The 24,421-nt window shown below is 56.7% G+C and overlaps 4 annotated features.

The window, feature by feature from the left end:
- Positions 6,424–6,955: an enhancer, noted in NCBI's record as "H3K27ac hESC enhancer chr7:157234065-157234596 (GRCh37/hg19 assembly coordinates)". NCBI's record gives its function as "activates a minimal SCP1, AML or CMV promoter by ChIP-STARR-seq in primed H9 embryonic stem cells {active_cell/tissue: H9 hESC(primed)}" and the evidence as "EXISTENCE:reporter gene assay evidence [ECO:0000049][PMID:30033119]".
- Positions 15,440–15,949: an enhancer, noted in NCBI's record as "H3K4me1 hESC enhancer chr7:157225071-157225580 (GRCh37/hg19 assembly coordinates)". NCBI's record gives its function as "activates a minimal SCP1, AML or CMV promoter by ChIP-STARR-seq in naive H9 embryonic stem cells {active_cell/tissue: H9 hESC(naive)}" and the evidence as "EXISTENCE:reporter gene assay evidence [ECO:0000049][PMID:30033119]".
- Positions 18,745–18,945: a silencer, noted in NCBI's record as "peak6870 fragment used in MPRA reporter construct". NCBI's record gives its function as "represses an SCP1 promoter by STARR-seq MPRAs in K562 erythroleukemia cells {active_cell/tissue: K562}" and the evidence as "EXISTENCE:reporter gene assay evidence [ECO:0000049][PMID:32103011]".
- Positions 20,339–20,504: a silencer, noted in NCBI's record as "fragment chr7:157220516-157220681 (GRCh37/hg19 assembly coordinates)". NCBI's record gives its function as "represses an EF-1alpha promoter that drives an FKBP-Casp9 reporter gene in an ReSE screen in HepG2 liver carcinoma cells {active_cell/tissue: HepG2}" and the evidence as "EXISTENCE:reporter gene assay evidence [ECO:0000049][PMID:32094911]".

The raw sequence follows: 24,421 nt of genomic DNA, 5'->3' as shown, positions 1-24,421 counted from the left end.
AAAATGAAGCCAGGCACAGGTGGCTCATCCCTGTAATCCCAGCACTTTGGGAGGCCAAGGCAGGTGGATCACTTGAGGTCAGGAGTTTGAGACCAGCCTGGCCAACATGGTGAAACCCCATCTCTACTAAAAATACAAAAATTAGCTGGGCATGGTGGTGGGCACCTATAGTCCCAGCTACTCAGGAGGCTGAGGCAGGAGAATCACTTGAGCATGGGAGGCGGAGGTTGCGGTGCGCTGAGATCGCACCACTGCACTCCAGCTTGGGCAACAGAGTGAAACCCTGTCTCAAAAAAAAAAAAAAAAGAAAAGAAAACAGCAGAAAATGACAAGTGTTTGCAAGGATGTAGAGCAATCAGAGCCCTAATGCACTGATGATGGGAATGTAAAATGATACAACCACTGTAGAAAACAATATGGTGGTTCCTCAAAACATTAGAGGTAATTCACATAGAGCTACCACATGATCTAGCAATTCCACTTCTGGATATATGCAAATAGAAATGAAAAGCAGGGACTCAGATATTTACACGCCCATGTTCACAGCAGCACTGCTCACAATATCCAAAAGGCAGAAGCCACTCAAGTGTCCACTGACAGATGTAAGCAAAATGTGGCCCATTCATACAATGGAATATTATTCATTCACAAAAAGGAAAGAAATTTAGACACATGCTACAATATGGAGGGACTCTAAGGACATTATGTTAAGCGAAATAAGCCACTCACAAAAAGACAAATACTCTATGATGCCAGTCAGATGAGATACTAATGTTTACAGCAGTCAAGTTCACAGAGACAGAAGTAGAATGGTGGGTGCCAGGGGCTGGTGGGAGGTGAATGGGGAGTTCGTGCCTAATAGGGACAGAGTTTCCTTTTGAAAAGATGAGAAAGTTCTGGAGATGGATGGTGGTGATGGTTGCAAACTCACTTAATGCCACTGAACTGTATATTTTTAAATGGTTTAAATGGTAGATTTAATGCTATGTATATTTACTACATTTATTTTTTTTTTGAGACAAGGTCTCAGTCTGTCACCCAGGCTGGAGTGCAGTGGTGCAATCACGGCTCACTGCAACCCCAACCTCCTGGGCCCAAGCAATCCTCTTGCCTCCACCCTCTAAGCAGCTGGGACTACAGGTGCACAACCATACCTGACTTTTTTTTTTTTTTTTTTTTTAGTAGAGATGGGGTCTCACTTTGTTGCCCAAGCCTGTCTCAAACTTCTGGTTTCAAGCAATCTTCCCAGCTTGGCCTCCCAAAGCACTGGGATTACAGGCATGAACCACCAAACCAGGCCCTTTACTACAATTTTTAAAAATAAAAATAAAAGGAATAAAGCACAGGCACATGCTATGACGTAGGTGAACCTTAAAGCCAGGATGAGGAGGGCCCCCGGCATGCAGGCACCCATGCTGTATGATCCCATTCTCCAGAAAGTCCCCAGAACCCACAACTCATGGGGACAGAAAGCCAATGAGGGGTTGTTGAGGGCTGGAGTTGGGTGCGGGGTTAGGGGCATGGCCACTAAAGGATGCAAGGTGTCTTTTCAAGCTGATGAAAATGCTCTAAAATCAACAGTGCTGATAACTACACGTGTCTGTCTGTGAATCATTGAACTGTATGTTTTTAAATAGGTGAATTGTATTCTATGTGAATTACAGCTCAATAAGGTTGATTATAAAAAGAGAAAAGCCTATGGGGCTTGCCAAGGTGATGCTAACTGGGGCCTGGACGTGTTCACGTGGGACAGGGCCAGTCCCTTGCAGACCCCCCACAACCGCCAGCCCACCACTCACCTGTTCTTCCCTTCACCAGCCTGTCTCGAGCCCCGGCCATGTGTGCCCTGAAATACTCCAGGCCATGCGGACAGAGACTCCCTGATGATGGGGCTCTAATGATTAAGGATTAACCATTTAAGGAGCAAATGATTTTAACAATTAAAGGTTGGATCACCACCACAGCAAAATGTCAGGTTAAGCCAGAAGTTTCAAATCTTCCTAGAAAAAACACACAGTATATATGTATTTCAAACACCTGACGCTGTAGAGTTGAGGGCAAGGAGGGGTGTTGTCATACCCTTGGGGAAGGTCCCTGTCTGTGACACTTTCCGAGAGGGTGAAAACTCCTGGTAACATCGGCACAGAGGCTTCGCCGGCTTCACATTTGCCTTCAGACCTGTGCCCCACACACCAAAACCAAGGGCGTCCGGTCAGCTCAGGCCGCCTGGGTGGCTCGAAGGGCACACTCTGCTGGAGGCTGGAAGTCCAAGATGGAGGGGACCGCAGATTCAGTTCCTGGTGGGGGCCAGATTCCCAGCTCCAGACAACTGCCTTCTCGCTGTGACCCACAGGCTGGGGGAGGGAGCTCTGGCATCTCTTCCTCTTACAGGTCACAGGGCACTGATCCCCTCATGAGGTCCCAGCCTCATCTGAAGCTTGACACCCCCCAGTACCATCACACTGGGGACTCAGGCCTCAGCAGGTGGAATCTGGGGACACACTCGGGTGATGACAGAGGGGAACAGGGCGAGGGGTAGAAGGGTTAGGCCCTCTGGACCACGACCCAGGGGGACCCCCACAGCCAATACAGAGCCCGTCAGGGAGTATTGGGTGGCTGAGGACTTGGGGGAGGCAGTGGGTTTCGGGGGCTCCTGTTCCGCTCCTTCCACAGCTTCTGCATCCAGCAGAGGCCTCAGGACCAGGTGCCCACCACGGACTTTTCCAATGCTAGCAGGTGAAATGGTGGAGACAGAGCATTTAGAATGAGGAAGCCCAGGCAGGTGCCCACTGCCCCCAGGTCCCTTCCCCGAAGCCTTTGCCTGCAGCCGCTCAGCTTCTCCCTCGGGAGCCACCCGCCCCAGTCAGAGCCCCACAGGGCTGGGCTCCCGGTGTGAAGGCAGAGGATCCAAGTGGAGTCGGGGGAGGCCAGCCTGCAAGGGCCCTGCCCAAAGTCAGCTGGGACCCCACAGCCCCCACCCCCTGCAGCCCCAGCCTCCAGAGGGTTGACCCTGGTGGGAGAGGCTTCGTTCTGCTGACGCCTAGTTTCGGCTTTTCATAAAAGGGATTTTGTCATTGATTTTGCTGTCTTTTCAACACTTCCATTTGCCTTTAATTTCCCATTTAAGAAACAGCAGGATCTAGAGAAAGTTAATTATTGAACAGCATCAGCATTTAAAAAGAAAATTTTAAATAATTAAAAATACTCAAATCTCTCCTCCCCTCCACCCTTAGGGTCTCAGGGCTTAAACAGCAAGAAAAAGCCAAACAGGGGAAAAAAGTCTGTACTCAGTCCTCCCCAGCTGCCGCTGCCTGAGCTTCCCCTGCAGTTTCCCCGCCTTGGGAGGTGCCCCAGACTCCGTCCCCTTCGCACCTCTTGCACGGTTAGCTTGGCCACCGCAGCAAAACCCCACAGGCGGGGTCTCCAACAGCGGATATTTCTTTCTCACGGTGGAGGCTAGAAGATCAAGATCAAGGTGTGTGCAGGGCTGGTTCCTCCTAAGGTCTCTCTCCTAGGCCTGCAGAGGCCGTCTCTACCACGGTCCTCCCTGGGCCATCCTCTGCACACATCTGTGTCTTTATGTCTCCTTTTGTAAGGACCCAGTCAGAGCGGGTCAGGACCATCGTACCGCCTCCTTGTATTTTAATGACCGATGTAAAGGCCTGCCCTCCAGACACAGCCTCCTGGGGACGGGGCTTCAACATAAGAGCTGGGGGCGCAGGTCAGCCTGTCATAGCTCCCATCCCCTTGGCCTCAGCACGTGTGGTGACCTGAAGGACAGAGACCCTACCACCACCCTGCGGCCACCCGGTAGCCAAGTCCACAGGTGGGGCCACCCCTGAGCAGCACTCGCCAACATCTGGGCTTTGGGTGTGTATATTACACTTTGGGAAAGAGGTAAAAAGCAAGCAGACGTGGGCCAGACCAGGGTCCCCAGTCTGCCAAGGTGGTGGTTGTCTGAGTTTGGGCCGTGGTCCTGGGGCAAACACTGCCGCTGGCTCTGCCTCGCTGCTGTGCCCTGGGGGAGTGCGACCCCCACCTGTCTTGGCTCTGCAGATGGCCAGCGGGGAGCCCTTTAGGGGGACTCTCCTCTACTGCAGAGACCACGGGTACGGTCACGAGGGCCTCGCTGCAGCCCCCAGACACCTGGCCTGGGCACCCCCACCCTGAAGATGGTGTCAGGCTGTGTGACTAAGGGCTTCTTTCCGGGCTCAGCCCCCCGACTTCCCTCCAACACCTTTCCCCTTAGACCCTCGCAGACGCTCCCCTGGCCTGCCCTTGCCCTGTGCTGTCTGTCTTGGTCGGCATCCTAGTGACCACATTATTTCATGACTTTTAATTGAACAGTGTAAGTTAAAACTGAAGAAGGATCTCACCCACTTAACCCTGTCTTAAACTATCTGCAGCAGCCTATTTAAATGACCACAGAGAAGTCAACACTGTCTGCACTCAGCTGTTCTTACTTGCCTCCCACTTTTCAGCAAGCTGTGTCCTGCGCACCCTGACAGCACATGGGAGGGTACGGGGGTCTGGGCAGCCCAGGTCACTCTACAGTGGGTTCCGTCAGGAGAGTTATGATGTGCAGAGGCCACCGAGGTGAGGGACAAACGCACGGGCAGCGGCTCTGCGAGCCACGGAGGGCCAGGGTCCGGGCAGCGATGGGGCTGCAGGGGCTCCGAGGAGGGCAGAGGCTGCAGGGAGGCAGCACTCTGGGCTGTCCAGGGTGGGAAGTGATGTCGCCACGGGGTCCTCAACCCGAAAGAAGGAGGCACACGGAGGGAGAGTCCTAGTTGGAGTGAGGCTGCGGTTCCTCGGGAACACATGTGCCTGTGATCCTGGGAATCAAGCGTCCACCAGACAGAGACAGCGAGTCAGCCCTGCCGGGTCACAGGTCCAGCAAGAAGGCCTTGGGCCCTTGAAGACAGCGGAGGGGGGTCCGGCGTGCAGCTGGCACCTTCCCGCAGACATGCTGAGCCCCACAGCCCATGTGCGGATGGCGTGTTACACAGTCTAGCCCCGGGTCGGGGTGGGGGGGCGGTGGTTGAGACTGGGGTCTTGGGACTGGACACACCTGAGCGTGTGTGAGCTTCCTGAGCCTGCTGAAATGAACGCCCACAAGCTCGGGGGCTGAAGACAGCAGGAGTCTGTCCCCAACAGCAGGGGTCCCCAACCCCGGCCAAAGACCAGTGCAGGTCCGTGGCGTGTTGGGAGCCAGCGTACAGCAGGAGGTGAGTGGCGGTGCCGCAAGCATTAGAGCCTGAGCCCCGCCTCCCGGCAGATCAGCTGCAGCACTGGAGTCTCACAGGGGAGAGAACCCCATTGTGAATTGCGAATGCAAGGGACCCAGGTTCCACCTCCTTATGAAAATCCAATGCCTGATGATCTGAGGTGGAGCCGTTTCATCCCGGAACCATCCCTCTGCCAACTCCATCCGTGGAAAAATTTTCCACCAAACTGGTCGTTGATGCCAAAAATGTTGGGGACCACCCTGCTCTACAGCTCTAGGGGTCGGAGGTCTGGCCCAGGGCTCCCCAGGCTGAAGTCACAGTGTCTCGGGGCTGGGTCCTTCCAGAAGCTTCGGGGAGAATCTGTTTCCAGCCCTTTTCAACTTCTCAAAGCTGCCCTTTCCCCAGCTTGGGGCTCCTCCTGCCTCCCGAGCCAGCAGCGGTGGCCGAATCTCTCACCGGCGTCTGGGACTCCCCCTCCCTGTGCCTCCTTCCGTCGGCTTTGAGGACCCTGCGACTACATCAGTCACCACCCGGAAAGTCCACCACAGACGCTACATCAGGCACCCGCCCCGAACAGCCCACGACAGACGCTACGTCAGGCGCCGACCAGAAGAGCCCACCACAGACGCTACGCCAGGCGCCGCCCGAAAGAGCCCACCACAGACGCTACGTCAGGCGCCGACCGGAAGAGCCCACCACAGACGCTACGCCAGGCGCCGCCCGGAAGAGCCCACCACAGACGCTACGTCAGGCGCCGACCGGAAGAGCCCACCACAGACGCTATGCCAGGCGCCGCCCGGAAGAGCCCACCACAGACGCTACGCCAGGCGCCGCCCCGAACAGCCCACCACAGACTGTAAGCCAGGCGCCCGCGTGGAATAGCCCACCACAGATGCTACGTCAGACGCCCGCGTGGAACAGCCCACCCCAGACGCTACGCCAGGCGCCGCCCGGAAGAGCCCACCCCAGACGCTATGCCAGGCGCCGCCCAGAAGAGCCCACCACAGACGCTACGTCAGGCGCCCGCGTGGAACAGCCCACCCCAGACGCTACGCCAGGCGCCGCCCGGAAGAGCCCACCACAGACGCTACATCAGGCGCCCGCCCCGAACAGCCCACCACAGACGCTACGTCAGGCGCCCGCGTGGAACAGCCCACCACAGACGCTACGTCAGGCGCCCGCGTGGAACAGCCCACCACAGACGCTACGTCAGGCGCCCGCGTGGAACAGCCCACCACAGACGCTACGTCAGGCGCCGCCCGGAACAGCCCACCACAGACGCTACGCCAGGCGCCGCCCGGAACAGCCCACCACAGACGCTACGCCAGGCGCCGCCCGGAAGAGCCCACCACAGACGCTACGCCAGGCGCCGACCGGAAGAGCCCACCACAGACGCTACGTCAGGCGCCGCCCGGAAGAGCCCACCACAGACGCTACGCCAGGCGCCGCCCGGAAGAGCCCACCACAGACGCTACGTCAGGCGCCGCCCGGAAGAGCCCACCACAGACGCTACGCCAGGCGCCGCCCGGAAGAGCCCACCACAGACGCTACGTCAGGCGCCCGCGTGGAACAGCCCACCACAGACGCTACGTCAAGCGCCCGCGTGGAACAGCCCACCACAGGCGCTACGTCAGGCGCCGCCCGGAAGAGCCCACCCCAGGCGCTACGTCAGGCGCCGCCCAGAACAGCCTGCCACAGGTCCCTCTCTCAGGGTCGGCTGAGGAGCGGCCTCCATTCCCTCTTCCGTGAAACACGACTTGCTCTCAGGTTCTGGGGCTGAGACGTGATCGTCATCAGGGCCATTACTCTGCGGTCCACAGTGGAGGGTCTGGAGTCCACCGCCTCTAACCCCCGTGAGCCTGGCAGGCTCTTCTCTCTAAAGCCCAGATGTCTTCATCTATGCAACGAGCGTGGGGCATTTAGCGAGGCTGCTGAATATCACCCTGGCTTCCTCAGCCTTTGGAAGTGGAACTGTGTGCACAGCCTCGCAGCAGGCCTGCCTCCCGCCCGACAAGGCCTTTCTGCTCTGAGTTCCAATTTGTGGTGACCCCGTTTCTGGGCTCTGTGCGTGCCCAGAGTGGGAGCTCCAGTAGGCAGGGCCACCCACCTGTCCCGGGCACCTGAAACCCAGCCAGGTGCATGGGGAACTGTGTGCTTGGGGTTTTTTTATCTCTGTCCTGTAAATGGGACGTCTGAAGTTCAGCAGGTTAAGTCACCCTGCCCCCATCATCATGTTGTGCAAAGTGGAAGGTGGAACTGAAACCCAGGAGCCCCCCTCAGACCCTGCGGTCTTTCTGCGTCTTGCAGCCGGTGGGAGGGAGATGCTGCAGCCAGAAGAGATCACCGCGGGTCAAGAGATCAGGGTGGGGTGATGCCCCAGGGTCACCACCACACAGAAACACTGCTGCCTTTTTTCAGAAAATGGATCCTTCCTTTAACTTTCTGGCATTCGGTGTGACCTCGTGTTGGTCATAAACAGAGCAGAACCAAGAATCCCACCAGCACAGACTGTGCCATGTTCAGGAGCTGCTGACAGTCAAGCCACGGCTGTGCGGCCCAGGCAGGCTCTGGCTGGGGAAGACGGTCGCCAGCACTGGCGGCAGACCCTTCCATTACCTCCAGAGCCCGCAGTGGAGGACAGGCGGGCGCGCAGCTGACGCTGCGGGCTCTAGGACTGTCTGATCCGACGGTCACACCCCTCACATCTGACCTGGGCTTCACAGCAAATACAGTCATCTTATTGTAAATTATTCTCATGTCGCATTAATCGGTTATTCAGCGAGGAAAGTGACATTGAGGAAGAAATGACGTGGAACGTTTTTGGCCACAGAGAGAGATTTATTAAGAGGTTGATGCCAGAGAGGCCTCAGACCTTAGAGCCCCACTGAGGCTGACCAGTCATGACCTGGAGCCCAGGAGGGAGGGGACAGTGACAGAGATGCTGCCCTCCAACAACAGAGGTGCTCCCTGAAAGTGATGGTGATGAAGGTGCTCCTGGAGGTGATGATGAAAGAGGTGTTCCCTGGAGGTAATGGAGGTGCTCTCTGGAGGTGACGGTTAAGGAAGTGCTCCTGGAGGTGATGATGAAAGAGATGCTCCCTGGAGGTGATGGAGGTGCTCCCTAGAGGTGACGGTGATGGAGCTGCTCCCTGGAGGTGACAGCTAAGGAGGTACTCCTGGAGGTGATGGTGAAGGAGGTGCTCCTGGAGGTGACAGTGAAGGAGGTGCTCCCTGGAGGTGATGGTGACGGGGGTGCTTCTGGAGGTGATGGTGATTGAGGTGCTCCCTGGAGGTGATGGAGGTGCCCCTGGAGGTGATAGTGAAGGAGGTGCTCCCTGGAGGTGATGGAGGTGCTGCTGGAAGTGATGGTGAAGGAGATGCTCCCTGGAGGTGATGGTGAAGGAGGTGCTCCTAGAAGTGACGGTGAAGGAGGTGCTCCCTGGAGGTGATGGTGAGGGAGGTGCTCCTGGAAGTGACAGTGAAGGAGGTGCTCCCTGGAGGTGATGGTGAAGGAGGTGCTCCCTGGAGGTGAAGGTGATGGAGGTGCTCCCTGGAGGAGATGGAAGTGCTCCTGGAGGTGACAGTGAAGGAGGTGCTCCCTCAAGGTCATGGAGATGCTCCTGGAAGTGACGATGAAGGAGGTGCTCCCTGGAGGTGACAGTGATGGAGGCGCTCCCTGGAGGTGATGGTGAAGGAGGTGCTCCTGGATGTGATGGTGATGGAGGTGTGGAGGTGCTCCCTGGAGGTGATGGAAGTGCTCCTGGAGGCGACGGTGAAGGAGGTGCTCCCTGGAGGTGATGGAGGTGCTCCTGGAGGTGATGGAGGTGATGGTGAAGGAGGTGCTCTCTGGAGGTGATAGTGATGGAGGTGCTTCCTGGAGGTGGTGGTGAATACGGTGCTCCCTAGAGGTGACAGTGAAGGAGGTGCTCCCTGGAGAAGCCGAAGGCAGGCCTTGTCCCTCTAGCTACTTGGAGCCCCTAACACTGTCCTCAGTGCCGATGCTTTTGGTTGCTACCGGGCACTTTCTTTAGGACACAGGCTGAGGAGGGACAGGGATGGTGTCCCAGCAGCGTGAGCATCTCCCAGTAGCAAAGGTGACAAACCATTTCAGCTGGAGACGGAGATGAAGCTGCATATTTAAGGCCAAGGAGTCTGTGCTGTGTCGGGGGCACTCGCCCCTGCTGAGGAGCCACTGCTGAACCTGGGGCTTAGAGATGAGCCCTGAACCCAGCTCCAAAGTCTGCAGGCTCCACGTGCTGCTGGGCCCCCAACAATGACAGGGCAGGAGCTTGGCTATAGCCGCTCAACGAGTGTGCGTGGCCTGGGACCATTCTAACAAACCAGGGGCTTAAAACAACAGAGGGTGCATCTCATGGTTCTGGAAGCCGGCATCTGAGGTCAAGGCGTCCGTGAGGCCATGCCCCTCCAAGGTGTGGAAGGCTCTTGGGGACCTCTCCTCACCTCACGACCCTCCCTGCATGCCTCACCTGCAGACGCCTCACTCCACTCTCTGCCTCTGTCACATGGCCTCCATCCAAGGACCTGAAGCAGTGATTGGGGCCCCCAACTCCAGGATGACTTCATCTGAGCCCAAATCCATCTGCAAAGACCCTCCTCCCAAACAGGGCGGCCCTTGTGGGGCCTGGGTTGGACTCAACCCTTCTTTTTGGAGACAAAATTCAACCCCAAACACTAGACCGGTGGGATTCCTACAACAACCCCATCCGGGAAAGGCCATGCCCTGCCCAGGGCCGAGAGCCAGCTCAGACTGGCCTCCAGCAAGGGCTGGACACATGGCTCTCACATCACCTCTAGTCCAAAACACGTGCTCCTTTCCCTCCAGCCATTCCCTGGAATCACCCCCCACCGCCCCCCACAGCTGTGACTCAGCTGTGAAGCCAGCATGGCTCAGGAGGGGAGGGGAAAGATGAGGAGGGGAGGGGAAAGATGAGGAGGGGAGGGGAAAGATGAGGAGGGGAGGGGAGGAAAGGAGAGGGGAGAGGAGGGGAAGGATGGGGAGGGGAGAAGAGAGGAGAGGAGGGGAGGAAAGAGAGGGGAGAGGAGGGGAAGGATGGGGAGGGGAGAAGAGAGGAGAGGAGGGGAGGGGAAGGTGGGGCCAGACTGTGTGGTGGGCAAAGGAGGACTCGGGACACAATGAGAGAAAGGGCTCCATGGCCACCTTCCTAGACAGAGGCTTTCTCAGGAAACTGTAAAGTTAAATAAGACTCAGTCAGGCTGGACAACTGGGTGGGGGTAACGTGCTAGGGGCTGCCTGGGGCCAGAGTTGCTTCCTGATCCTGTCCCAGGAAGAGCCTGTGGTCCTGGACATGCATGCATGTGCACACAGCATATGCATGTCTGTGTGTGGGTGTGCACAGTGAGCTGTGGGGCCGTGACCATGAGGCACTGGCTTGGTTCACGTGCACACTCCGGACACCGTCCCCTCTTCTGTGCTAGTGCAGCCCCTCAGGCAGAAGCCACCACCCCATCGTCGTCCAGAACATTTTTGGAACTTCATGTTTTAGGCAACGTCTTAGAAAACCCAGCCTCATTGTTGATTAGATTAAAGATTTTCTGGGGGAGGAGGCAGCAGACTCTCACTGTGTTGCCCAGACTGGAGTGCAGTGGCATGATCTCAGCTCACTGCAGCCTCCACCTCCCGGGCTCAGGCAATTTTTTCACCTCAGCCTCCCAAGCAGCTGGGATTACAGGCATGCACCACCACCCCCGGCTAATTTTTGTATTTTTTGTAGCGACAAGATTTTGCCATGTTGCCCAAGCTAGACTTGAACTCCTGAACTCAAGTGATCCACCCACCTCGGTCTCCCAAAGGTTGGAATTACAGGCATGAGCCACTTCACCCAGTCAGGTTAAAGCTATTTAAGTTAACTCTCTTGTGCCATCAAACATGTGAGTGTTACTTGCTCGACTCTTCAAAATTAGATCCTTTTCTGGACACACATTCCTTTTGCCTTCTGTAGAAATTCCTTCCATGCTGAAAAAGATGTGTTTTCAACCATAAACAACTGAAAAACAAGGAAGAATTGCAAGTGCCCCACCAGGCTCTGTCACAGCCGCTTAACGTGAGCAGCATGAACTCGTGGAAACAGAAATCATTTCTGTGCCGTTAGAATCAACTGTAGGAAGGAGACAGGATTGAGTTTGGAAATTTCTGAAACTGTTGGTAACGGTTTCATCACCGGTCACCACTGATGGCCAGAGACCAAGGGAAGCGAGCCGTGGGGGGCCACTCAGTGCTAACCATCCCAGGCCACCTCCCACCAATTCTATCATTCCTTGCAAAGGTTCCTGTATTTTATAGCTTCAGTTTTCAATGTCTCTCCCATTATGTATCATACCAAATTCTGTGTAAGGACTTTTAAAATTCAAAGAACAACTGACTTGCATTAAATACACACAGACACACACACACACAGGCCCTTAGCAATGCTATATTTTAATTGACTATTCAATCACCCTTTAGGAATATTTTAGACATCAAATTCCATGCTGTATTGTGGCAGATAGAATTCATTGCCATTCATATCAAATTTAAAACTTAGATTGCTAATCTGTGTCCCTAAAAGTGGTAATAAAAGTATATATTTTAGAGCAATTACTTTTTCATCAAGGGATCTTATTTTATGAAATACTTGCTTGCCAAAAACCACAATTTACTTTTTACCATTTCATTTAACGATCTGACATTTGCGACATACCCTAATTAATTCTAACTCTGTCTAAACGGCTGTGATAAATATAACCTGTGCTGAAGAGATTGTAATGCCACTGGCAGATCTGTAGGGCCGACAGAGGAAACACATAGCAGGCAAGTGGCTGGCGTTGGGACGGGGCCTGCCATCTGGTCCGACCGTAGAAGTTACATACGAAAATACGTAAACTGTAGAGATTACATATGAAAACAAAATCCCAGGGACCTAAGGCAGCCGCTTAATCTGAAATGGAGTTGGTTGCCTTGTTCTTTTTTTTTTTGGTGTGTGTCTGTGTGTGTTTGTTTTTTTTTTTTTTGAGATGGAGTCTTGCTTTGCTGCCCAGGATGGAGCACAATGGTGCCATCTCCGCTCACTGCAACCTCCACCTCCCAGGTTCAAGCGATTTTCCTGCCTCAGCCTCCTGAGTAGCTGGGATTACAGGCACGTGCCACCATGCCTGGCTAATTTTTGTATTTTTAGTAGAGACAGGGTTTCACCATATTGGCCAGGTGGTCTCAAACTCCTGACCTCAGGTGATCCACCCGCCTCAGCCTCCCAAAGTGCTGGAATTACAGGCGTGAGCCACTGCGCCCAGCCTACAATCGCCTCATTCCTTATGAAATATATTTGACTGGCTGGATATTTATATTTATATTCTCCCATGATGCTTGGTACTTTAGCTAAGACTTTGTCAAGGCAGCTAATTTTTTTTTAATTTTTAATCTTTTTTTTTTTTTTTGAGACGGAGTCTCGCTTTGTCGCCCAGGCTGGAGTGCAGTGGCGCGATCTCCACTCACTGCAAGCTCCGCCTCCCGGGTTCACGCCATTCTCCTGCCTCAGCCTCCCGAGTAGCTGGGACTACAGGCGCCCGCCACCTCGCCCGGCTAATTTTTTGTATTTTTAGTAGAGACGGGGTTTCACCATGTTCGCCAGGATGGTCTTCATCTCCTGACCTCGTGATCCGCCCGCCTCGGCCTCCCAAAGTGCTGGGATTACAGGCGTGAGCTACCATGCCCGGCCCTTATTTTTAATTAAAATTAAAAGATTTTAAAACTGAGGAGCACGTAAAAGCGGGAACAATTAGTTTCTTTGTAGACTGTGCTCTTTTTACCTCAATCTAGATGCTCCTAAGTCCAACAGAATTCCTAAATCTAGACGCTCGGGCAAACTGTAATGGTCTGGCCACCTCCACGCCTCACCCTCAGATACCAACAGGTGGGCGTGGGAGGCCTGGCGGGGAGTAAGATGCTGGGGAGTCCTCCCCTCCCGGATGAAGCATCATTTTTACTACACGGAATGATGCTGGAGACCCTTTATCATCACCATACATTGCTATAACTCCAACAATAAACCCTCAGGTAAAAGGCTTAAAGCTAAGAAGAGTCACATGCATAAGTTCATTTGCATCCGCACTGAAACCCGTCTGTACCAGCATGATCTATCTTCCTGGATTGGCTGGCAACAGTGCAGGGTGCTCTGCGGTTTTCAGCTGCTGCTGTCTGGTTTGGGAGCATGGTTGTTGGGGATGAGGTGGAGACCTGGAGCTCACAGCAGCTTCTGCTGCTGCTCCTGCCCTTTAACGGGAATCGAGGGCACCACGGGAGGGGCTGAGGACTTCGCTCACAAGTATTATAAGGCTTGGGACAGTTTTGGCTTTGAGTTTTGTGTTTTCTCTCTTTATGTTATTTCTTCTTTACCTCGGTAATTTTTTACCTGATTTTGGTAACAAGTGGATAGGAAGCAAAGGGCCCTGGAATCGGGACGCCACACCCTTTGGCACTGCAGAGCGGTCATCGGTCTGGGTGAAAGCCACGTCTTCTGGTCTCTCCAAGCCAACTTTACTTATGAGGCCGTTCAACCACGCCTTGGAGAAACTGCTGATCACAAAAGTCTGGATTAAGGAAACGACTGCATGTTCTGACCAAAGCTTCAAAAAGCAACTCCAAGACAGGTGTTGTCAAGTGCTTCCCATTCGCTCCCCGGCCGCCAGGGTGGCTGACTTCAGCGGTTGTGCGATAGGTTTGGTGGCCCTGACCTTTCCTTGTACCACCACTTATGGGGGCGGTGCACGGTTCAGTGGGTTATGGGATTATTTTAGCCAGAAGGTGCTGAAAATATTAACAATAGATTTTATTGCTCTCTATTAGCCCAGAAGAACGCAAATTACCATTTGTCAAATGTTATTTGAGTAAAAACTATAGAAATGTTTTTGGCATGGGAGTGTAGGGGGAAAAAAGTGACCTTGAACTTTTGGTAGAGCCTGATTTTATCATTTAAAATTGTGTGCTTGCGAAGCTTTTGATATGTCATTTAGAAGGTTGTGAGACTGGATGTTAACTGTTCAACAAGAAAAACTCCCCACTCTGCCTTAAACTAATTATTTTATTCCACCGATGGGACCGTGTAAGCACTCAGGCCCCTCACCCTTCAACTCGATTTTAGCCTTGATTAACCTGAACATAATTAAAATAAGACTAACGCCACTAGGTGGCCATGGGGGTGTGGGGGTGCATGTGTGGGTGGGTGACTTCGTGTGTGTGTATGTCTATGTATGCGTGTGTGAGTGTGCACGTGTGGGTGGGTGACTGCATGTGTGCATGCGAGTGTGCATGTGAACGTGCATGTGTGTGTATATGTGGGTGGATGACCGTGTGTGCATGCATGAGTGTATGCGTGTGCAGGCATGTGTGAGTATGTGTGGGTGGGTGACTGCATGTGTGTGTGCATGCGTGTGTATGCATGTCAGTGTGCACATGTGGGTGGGTGACTGAGTGTGCATGTGAATGTGCATGTGTGTGTATATATGGGTGGATGACCGTGTGTGTGTGCATGCATGCATGAGTGTGCGTGTGTGCAGGCATGTGTGTGTGCATGTGTGGGTGGGGGACTGCATGTGTGCATGGGTGTGTGCACATGTGGGTGGGTGACTGCAGGTGCGGGTGCGTGTGAGTGCATGTGATTGTGTGCATGTGCGCACATGTGGATGGATGACTGCATGTGGGTGTGCATGCATGAGCATGCATGTGTGCATGCATGTGTGTGCATGTGTGAGTGTGCATGTATGTGTGTGTGCAGGCATGTGTGAGGGTACATGTGTGGGTGGGTGACTTCGTGTCTGTGCATGTGTGTGCCTATGTGGGTGGATGACTGCGTGTGTGTGTGTGTGCATGTGAGTGTGCATGTGTGTGCATGCGTGTGTGCGTGCCTCGGGTGGGAGTGGAGTGGGTCACTCGCGCACAGTCCTGTTTTCTTTTATAGACGCGCCCTCCTGTGGCCGCTGAAAATATTGCCCTGTAAAATGCCATCTCTGCCCTGCATCCTGTGTTTCTGTCGCTGTTTTTCTGCGTGAAGCATTTGGAGTCTCACATGAATAAATAAACGTTCCCACAAAGCTACACAGACATATGCAATTTTTTCATAAAATACTTGATTTGGGGTTTTATAAGTTGGGATGCCTCGGTACTGATGCACAGGTGCACCTTCTAAACTGAATTTCTAAAGCGGGGCGCCCGCGTGCCTGGGGGCTCCTCACACCGGCAGGAGGACAGAGCCAAAGTGGAGGAAGGTGTGGGCGGGGCCGGCTCCCTCACGAGGCTCAGGATGGACACTCCTTCCTGCCTCTCCCAGCTTCCGGCACACAAGCTGCTGCTTCTCCCAGCTTGTGGCCACACCCCTCCCATCTCTGCCTCCGTCTCCACGTGGCCTCCCTCCCCGTCCCGGTCTCAAGTCTCCCTCCCCCTTCTCCTCTAAGGACGGCTGTTGTTGGGTTTGCTGGCATTCTCAGTCCAGGATGATCTCCTCTCCAGGCCTTAACTTGTTACATCTGCAAAGACGGCCTCTCGGGCAGGCATGCTCACGGGTTCCAGGGGTCAGCAGGTGGACGTGTCTTCAGAGACCACCATTCCCCTGCACAGGACTTGGGGATCTCAGGGGGACTGGAAGGTGTGGGTGTCCGTGTTGCTGGAGTGTACAGGAGAATGAGACAGGCAGGCCGGGCCAGGCCATTCGCACTCTCCGTGTGGGTGATGGGCTGCGGGACGCCTCTGTGGCTGACTGAAAGTGAGGTCCTCGGCCCAAGGACCTGTCCCTGCAAACTGGGACAACGCTGACATCAGAGCTTCCCTGCAGAGCACCCGTCCCTCCAGCAGCCTCTGGGAGGACTCAGGGCTGTGGGGTCCGGTTTTCTTTCCTCACCTCACACCTGCCGTGGGCGTCTGCTGTGCCTGACAGGTGACGACGAAGTCAGCCTGCCCTGGAGAGGACGGAGCAGCCAGTAGCAGGAACTACCGAGACGCAGGGAGCGCTGGGAGCTGAGCGGATGGTGGTCTGTCCTTTGGAGATTTGTGGGCTGCTCTCTCCCCACTTCGCACTGACTCACAGCTCTGGGGGTTCACAGCTGTCTGCTCCCCAAGGCCTGGTCCCAGGGGGATGAGGGACAAGAAGCGATGGACACAGCTATGTCCCCAACCACAACAAAACCACTCCAGGGCAGATGCACACCTGAGGTCCCACGACCTCTTGAAGCCAAAGAGGGCTGAAAGGGAACAGGTGATCCCATCAGGTGACAGGTGACCTCAGGTGACAAGTGGCCCATCAGTGACAGGTAATCTTGTCAGGTGACAGGTGACCTTCCGTGTGGCAAGAAAGACAGACGTTGGCAGTCCCACAGCAGCTGCCTCGTCCTTGTGGGAAGGCCTCTGTCCCGCGGTGGGCAGGTCTATGCAGACTCACCCCAAAGGCCAAGGGAGCTGAGAGGTGGAAGAGAAAGGCTGACAGACCCAGCTCCTCAGACAAACACTTCACAGGGACTTGGGAAAGGAATCAGTGTCTCCGGTGGCCACAAGACGGTGGCGCCCGCACCCACTCCAGGAAGTGTCTTTTGTGCACATGTGTTTAAGGTGGGACGCATGCAGCTGGCCACATCTGACTCTCTTGGGAAACTCGTGACCGCTGGGGAGTGTGACAGGCATTCTTCCCAGGGTGTCTGTGCTACAGAAACACCTCAGTATGTGGGCGCCCGGCGCCAGTCATGGTAACGGTCTCGCTTCAAGACAGAGTCCCGTGGGCCGTGCAGCAGCCTCGCTGCCCCCAGGCTGGAGCTCTGTCACACTCAGCCGAGCTCCAGGGACCGGCTCTCTCTGTCCATTGGCTGCGTTTCCACCACAGCAGGAGGGGGTGCTCCCGGGGCGCGGCTGCCACCACTCGGCATGGACAGTGGTCCTAGGGCAAGCCCATCACTGGCCACCGTGGCTCACTCCACAGGCAGCACAAGGGGTGAAGTGTGGGGAAGAAGCCGCCCATTCACGTCCAGGCTTGCTTCACCTCTTCCTGCTGCATGCAAAATTCTCCCTCCCACAAATTCACCTCCAACCCACAAGCCCACCCCGGGCTCTGGCCACTCTCGTCCAGAGAGCCTGCCCACATCCACTCACCGACACCCACTCAGGAAGCTCTCTGACCCTTCTCTCCATCCTGGGAAGGTCCAAGCTGAGCGTGTTCAGCATGTAGTCCTCCCCTCCACTGGCCTGTGGGGGGTTGACAAGGGTGGGTTGGAAGTGATTGATTCTGCCTTTCCCCTCTGCAGGGCAGGATGACAATGTATAAAGCTCTCTGTCCCCAGCGTGCCAGCAATGGACACACAGATGAATGAATGGGAGGGACAGGCAGATGGGCAGACAGATGGACAGATGGAAGGATGGACGAATGGATGAACAAATGGATAGACAGATGGACAGACAGATGGACAGATGGAAGGATGGACGAATGGATGAACAAACGGATAGACAGATGGACAGATGGATGGGTAGGTGGATGGATGGGTGGATGGGTGGGAGGGTGGATGGATGAGTGGATGGATGGATGGGTGGGTGGGTGGGTGGATGGATGGATGGGTGGATGGGTGGGTCGGTGGATGGATGGGTGGATGGATGGGTGGGTGGATGGATAGATGAGTGGATGGATGGATGAATGGATGGATGGGTGGACAGGTGGGTGGGTGGATGGATGAGTGGGTGGGTGGGTGGATGGATGGGTGGGTGGATGGATGGATGGATGGATGGATGGATGGATGGGTGGGTGGGTGGGTGGGTGGATGGATGGATGGGTGGGTGGGTGGATGGATGGGTGGATGGATGTGTGGATGGGTGGATGGATGGATGGGTGCGTGGGTGGGTGGATGGATGGGTGGATGGGTGGGTCAGCGGATAGATGGGTGGGTGGATGGATAGATGAATGGATGGATGGATGGATGGATGGATGGATGGGTGGACAAGTGGGTGGGTGGATGAAAGGGTGGATGGATGGACAGATGGATGAACAGACAGATGGACAGGCAGATGGATGGATTAACTGATGGGCAGACAGAGGGACAGATGGATGGATGGGTGGATGGATGGATGGATGGATGGATGGATGGATGGATGGACAGGTGAATGAACAAATAACCAAACATTGTATTTACACACCGCCCTTAGGCCAGGTCTGTTTGTGTGTAACCAGGCCAAACAGGAATATGATTTTCTGGGGGAGTCCCATGAGGGGTTCATGACAACATGAGCATGTTGAGTCAGCCTCCTCTACCCAGTACAAGCTCCCCCAGCTACCCAGCAGGTCCACCGTCCCCTGTGTGGGACAGGGGTTGCCCCCACTCCCAAAACTTGGACCCTAAGGGTCGGTCCTCCCCGAGGGGAGGTCCTGGGAGCTGGAGAAGCCTGGCCCACTGCCCATGGTGCCTCTGCCCAGCCATGCACCCCCAGGAAGCTGGCAGCAGGCCAGCCACATCCATCCTGGGAAGGTCCAAGCTGAGCATCTCTAGCATGTGGTCCTCCCCTTGCCCTGTCTAATTCACTGTAATAATCACATAAGCAGCCTGTTGAGCTGGCAGCTGCGTGAAGTTTTAACTAAGCTGAGAACGGGGCTCAGTCAGCCACAATTTAAGCTCCAGCCACAGCGTGCCAAATAGCCTGGGCTGCAGGATCCATGAGCGCAGACGCTCAGAAGCTCACCCTGCTCAGTGTCCTCAAATGAACCACTGGCCCTTCCTTTATGTGGCCAATGGCAGCGAACCCAGAAAAAGCCCAAGGAAGGGCAGCTTATGTTGGTCATCTGGAAACTGGGCCTGTGGTTCCGTGAGCCTGAGGCGACCCTGGGAGCTGTGAGCCCTTCCCAAAGGGTTTGGACGTCTCTGGGCCCTGACAGCAAACAGAACTCCCTGTCCCAACACCAACAGCCATACTTCCGCTGTTGTTATGGGGTGCGCCGTGCCCCTCCTTGTGGCCCCCGGCTCTCACACAAGCTAGACCTTGATCAGCACCCCAGAATTACTCCATGAGCTCTGGAAGACTCTGCGAGATACCCGCATGCCTCACAATCAGGGTATTGTCATCCCTGTGGGCAGATTTCCCAGTGAGACTGGGGGATGTCCTGGGATGTCCCTCCCAGGTGCAGAGAGCACCCAGGGAAACTGGCCCCCCGCCCCAGCTGTGGCCACTTCAGGCCCCGGCAATCCAGGTCCCTCCAGAGGGGTCCCCGGGGGCACAGCCTCGCCCGCAGGGTCCAAGGTGTTTCCCTCTGTGGACTGGAGGTAAGATCGCCCACAGGCTCTCTTGATGAGACATGAACCAGGCCCACGTTGGGACTTGGGGGAGCCTGAAACGCAGGCTGGGCTCCCCGGGTGGACCCCATGGGCAGAGAGGGAAGCGTCCCCACATTGCGTCCTGCCCTGAGGCCCAGGACAGTAGAAATAGTTCAGGTCTCCCCAGCAGACTCTGGCCCAAGGGACTTGGAGAAGACCTGGCCACCAGGCCCCAGCGAGATGTCCCAGCCTCACCTTTGAGGGCCTAGCAGGTGCAGCCCTGCCTCACACGCCTGGTGACAGCTGCCTTCACCAAGGAGAAGGCTATGGGCTTTGGTAGAGCCGACACCTCACACAGACAGCAGAGGTGCAGAGAGGGAGCCCTTCCAGCCCCTCCCTCACTCCCAGCCACAGCCACTGACGCTGTCCTCCCGGGATAGCCCACCCCAGCACCGTAGCCCCGCTGGGCGCCCACTCCCCAGGGGTGCAGGAGCCTGGCCCTGACTCCATGCGGGTCACAGCCGCCACATCCCAGCTCCCACGAGGCTCCCACGCGGCTCCCAGGCCATCCTGTGCCATGGAGGCTGCTGGGCACCTGGACCCTGTCCTGCCCTGGGTGGCACCATGCTTTGCCCCTCCTCCCTCCTCAACTGCAGGTCAGTCCCCAGCAAAGCCGCTGGCCCCTCACAGTTCCCCTCACAGGGTCCCTCCAGCCCCATGCCCCCTGTGGTGAGCCCAGGGTTCTGGGATGGCCCCTTCGTCCCTCCTCCCTCTGCTGGGGACGCCCCTCCCACAGCCCCTGATGTGAACACCCACACTTCTGTGCCCGCGCTGGACCCTGACCACTCACTCTGCTCAGCCGGGTCCTGGGCCCCCCTCACCTCAGCAGCCCCCGGGGGTCCCCCCAGGCCTCCTCCCCTGGCAAGGAGCCAGTCAGGGGCACCCCAGGCCTCGGCAGAGATGCCAGGTACTCCACAGGCAGACCCGGACGGAGATCCGGGACAGGTCCACCCAGGCGGGTCCCCAAAGCAAACTGCACCACACATGGTAGCTTCTCTGGAGGGAAAGGATGACTCAGTTTTTTGAAGGTGTGTTTTCCGGCCGGGCGCGGTGGCTCACACCTGTAATCCCAGCACTTTAGGAGGCCAAGGCAGGTGGATCTCTTGAGGTCAGGAATTCAAGACCAGCCTGGCCAACATGGCGAAACCCTGTCCTACTAAAAATACAAAAATTAGTCGGGCATGGTGATGCATGCCTGTAGTCCAAGCTACTCAGGAGGCTGAGACATGAGAATAGCTTGAACCTGGGAGGCGGAGTTTGCAGTGAGCTGAGATCACGCAACTGCACTCCAGCCTGGGCGACAGAGAGAGACTGTCTAAAAAAAAAACATGTGTTTTCCACTGCAGGTTTGAATCTGGGTCAAAACACCTCTTAAAATCCTCCATTATCACAGTTATTTACTCAAATAAAAGCCGCACAAGGCAAGATTTGCCCTTTTGCAGGGAGGAGGCAGGCCAGGGGAAGTGGTGTGTTCCCCGGAGACCCCCATCAGCAAGCTGGGCACAGTGAGGCGGCCCAGCGCCTGCGAGCCACAGGGAGCCCTGGAGTGCGCTAGCCAGCTCTGCACCCTCATCCTGTGTGAACCCCCGACGACTGCCTGCATGACTGTGGGAGCCCCGGGGAGATATGTCCCTGCCGGGCCCGGGAACGAGGGTGGCGGGGGCCCAGGGACCTCACGGCCACCCCAGCCCCCCGTCTGCCACTGTGCGACCTGGTTGCCAGGCACCAGTCGTGGAAGCCAGCGCAAGGCAAGAGGACCCCTGGGAGCTCGTCCAGTCACAGGAGGGAAGGGGTGGCCTCGGAGCCAGGCAGAGGGGGAACCCACACAGTCGCTTCCAAGACTGTGCCCCAGCTCGGCTTCTGGCGGGGGCTGCCCAGCTCAGTACCAGACTCCTGGGACCTGTGCTGCCCCTACGGGGTCCAGGCCATGCCACCATCCTTCCCACGACATCCAGGAAGCTCCGCCCTTGATGGACCCTGAGGGACGAAGGCTGGTCCCCACTGCCAGCCAGGTGCCCCACCTCGCTCTCCCTCCTTCCCCAGCCGCGTCCTTGGGCCGTGTCCGTCTGCTCCAGGTGACCGGCCTGGCCTCCCTGTCCCTGCTCGCCACCAGCTGGGAGGGGGCTGCCGAGTCTCAAGACAGCTCCTGGGCCCCTTCCCTACAGAGAGGTTCGTCCCCACCACCCACCGCCTCCTCTCGGGCCAACCTTGACCGCTGCCTGGTCCTCAACGTTCTCGGTCAGGAGAACCCAGAGGTGAAGGAACCCAGAGGCGGCGGAGGTCCTGCCCAGGGGAGCAGCATGGAGGGGCGGGCCGTGGGCAGCCAGACGGGCACCAGGCTCCCACCCGCAGAGGAGGCGACGGGAGCCTGTCCCTGCACTCTCAGTTCTGTTGTCCATTGCTCTGTCTGGGGGCTGTTACACAACTCTCGGCTAAGCCTCATCTTTTTATTTTTTAATAATTTTGTATTGTGCTAAAATACATGTAACAGGAAATGTACCATTTTCCCCATTCCTAAGTGCACAGTTAGTTCCACGGCATGAAGAGCTGCTTGGTGTCCATCACCATCATCCATCTCCAGAACTTCCCATTCCCTAAACTGAAACTCTGTCCCCAGTAAACCAACTCCCCAGCCCCTCCCCAACCCCTGGCACCCCCACCATTCGACTTTCTGCCTCTAGGAATCGGACGGCCGTGGGACTCCCTGTGAGTGCAAGGACACAGCGCTCATCCTTTCCTGACTGTCGGGTCTCACCGTGTCCACAGGGCGGGTCTCACCGTGTCCACAGGGCGGGTCCACGGGCAGCACATCAGAGCCCGTCCTCTGGAGGGCTGAACGCAGCCCCACTGCGCAGGGAGCACATCCATCTCTGCACCCGCACACGGGATCCACTCCCTCCCCAGCTGCCATGGCCAGTGCCGCTGTGAGCACGTGAGCACAAACATCCGGCTGAATTGAGCCTCATCATAGCCTATATATTCCCCAAAATAAGAAGGAAAAAAAGTATTATTACAGAAAAGAAAGGGGAAAGTGAGCCGGCACTCACCCAGCCCAACCTACCCTCACCTGGGCTCCACCCATGCCCCCACCTCTGTCAACCAGACAGGAGCAGCCCTGGGAAGCCCCGGCCCCGCAGCGTCTGTGGATAGGCCCTGGGACACTGCACCCAGGCAGGGTCCAGACGGGGGAGCCCTCTGCCCTGGACACTGCACCCAGGCGGGGCCTGAGAGCAGGGAGCCCTCTGCCCTCTGCCTCTGCTTCCTGCCTGATCCACGTGAGCGCAGGGAGAAGCACAGTGGCTTGGAACAGGGAGAGGGCAGAGGCAGGAGAGTGGCAGACGCCACGTGCTGCTCCCAAGCAAGCGGGTGGGGGGGCCGAGGCTCTGCAGGTCTGGGTGTCCGGAAGTCACCTGCCAGCCGGGCTCTCCCTGCAGCACCCTTGAGGGAGGCCTAGGGGCAAAGCAGGCTGGACCCCACAGCAGAGGCGGGCACAATACTAACTGGGCTGCCTGGGACCCACGTGCCAGTCAGCCAGGGCCCTCTGGGCTCACAGGGGGCTCCGTGCTCCTGAGTCTACTTCACAGGCAACAGCGGTGGCCTTCACCCCTCTTCTCTGCAAAGCCCACTGCCCTTCACTGCCTCCCCCTGCCCTGGGCCAGCAGGTGCTTGGGCCAGTCTAGGGGAGAGAGGCTCCCGGGGTGTCTGGGTGAGCGCTGCCCCTGTATGGGTGGGGCCTGAGCTCAGGGCGCTCAGGTAAGGGTGGAACCCAGGTGCACCCTCCCCCAGCTCAAGGCAGGGTCTCAGGACAGACTGCTGACCTGGGGTCCCACTGTGCGTGCGTCTACCTCAGGCTCTTCCCTCCACCCTCCAGGATGAAAGGCCTCGGGGTTGCTGACACTCCCCTTGGCCTCTAGCCTCGGGGTTCCGGGGTGGACCCAGATACCCGCCTCATTAGGAGGCAGCGTTGTGGAGAGAAGTGGAGAACAGGCATCAGTGTGCATCTTTGTTTGTTTGTTTTAGAGACAAGGCTCACGGTGTCTCCCACGCTGGAGTGCAGTGGCACGGGTGAGACTCACTGCAGCCTCGAACTCCTGGTCTCAGGGGATCCTCCCGCAGTGCTGGGATGACAGGCACGAGCCACTTCTCCCGGCCTAGGCGTGGATCTGAAGCTGCAGGTCAGGTCTCTCTTCTCCCTGAATTTGGGTTTTGTAAACCAGGCACCACCTGCCCGGCTCTGAGAGGCAGCCCTGGTCCCTGCCTGCTTCCTGTCCAGGTGAACGGTAGGCTGGGCTGCACCTCCCCTGGCTAGGGGGTTCTGGCCCTGGGCTTTGCACCTACACAGCACAGCAGTGACAGTGGCAGCCCGCTCTGTCCTCTCCTGAGAAGAAACGAAGTCAGCACGGGGAGAAACCCAGGACCGCCCAGGGATGGCGAGGGCCTGCCCTTGAGGAGTCCCCAGGGCATCACCGCCCCCTGGTCTGGGCTCAGAACAGCAGCGCCTCGCCAGGAACACTCAAACCCCAGCGACGAGGGGCCCAAGGCACCCAAACGCGGGAAGTCCATCTTTCCCGGGGTGCTCCCATCCCCAAATAACCTCCGGGAATCCCACGGGTGCTCACCCAGCCCAACTCTCCCCACGCCTGCCTGCCAGGACAGCGTCTAGAGCCCAGCCCCTTGGCGCCCTCGCCCTCTGAGATGCCCAACAGCCCTGCAGCCGCGTGGGTGGCCTCGTCAGGACACACAGGGCCCCCACACGGCTGAGGCCTCCCACCAGCGCCAGCCATGTCCACGCCTCGCTTGCCAAGAACCACGATTGTGGCCCTTCCTCAGTGCAACCGAAGGGCTCG

Source organism: Homo sapiens, chromosome 7, assembly GCF_000001405.40.
Source record: "Homo sapiens chromosome 7, GRCh38.p14 Primary Assembly".
Classification (NCBI taxonomy): Eukaryota; Metazoa; Chordata; class Mammalia; order Primates; family Hominidae; genus Homo; species Homo sapiens.
Note: the sequence above shows the minus strand (reverse complement) of the source record. Positions and strands in the feature narration are given on the sequence as shown.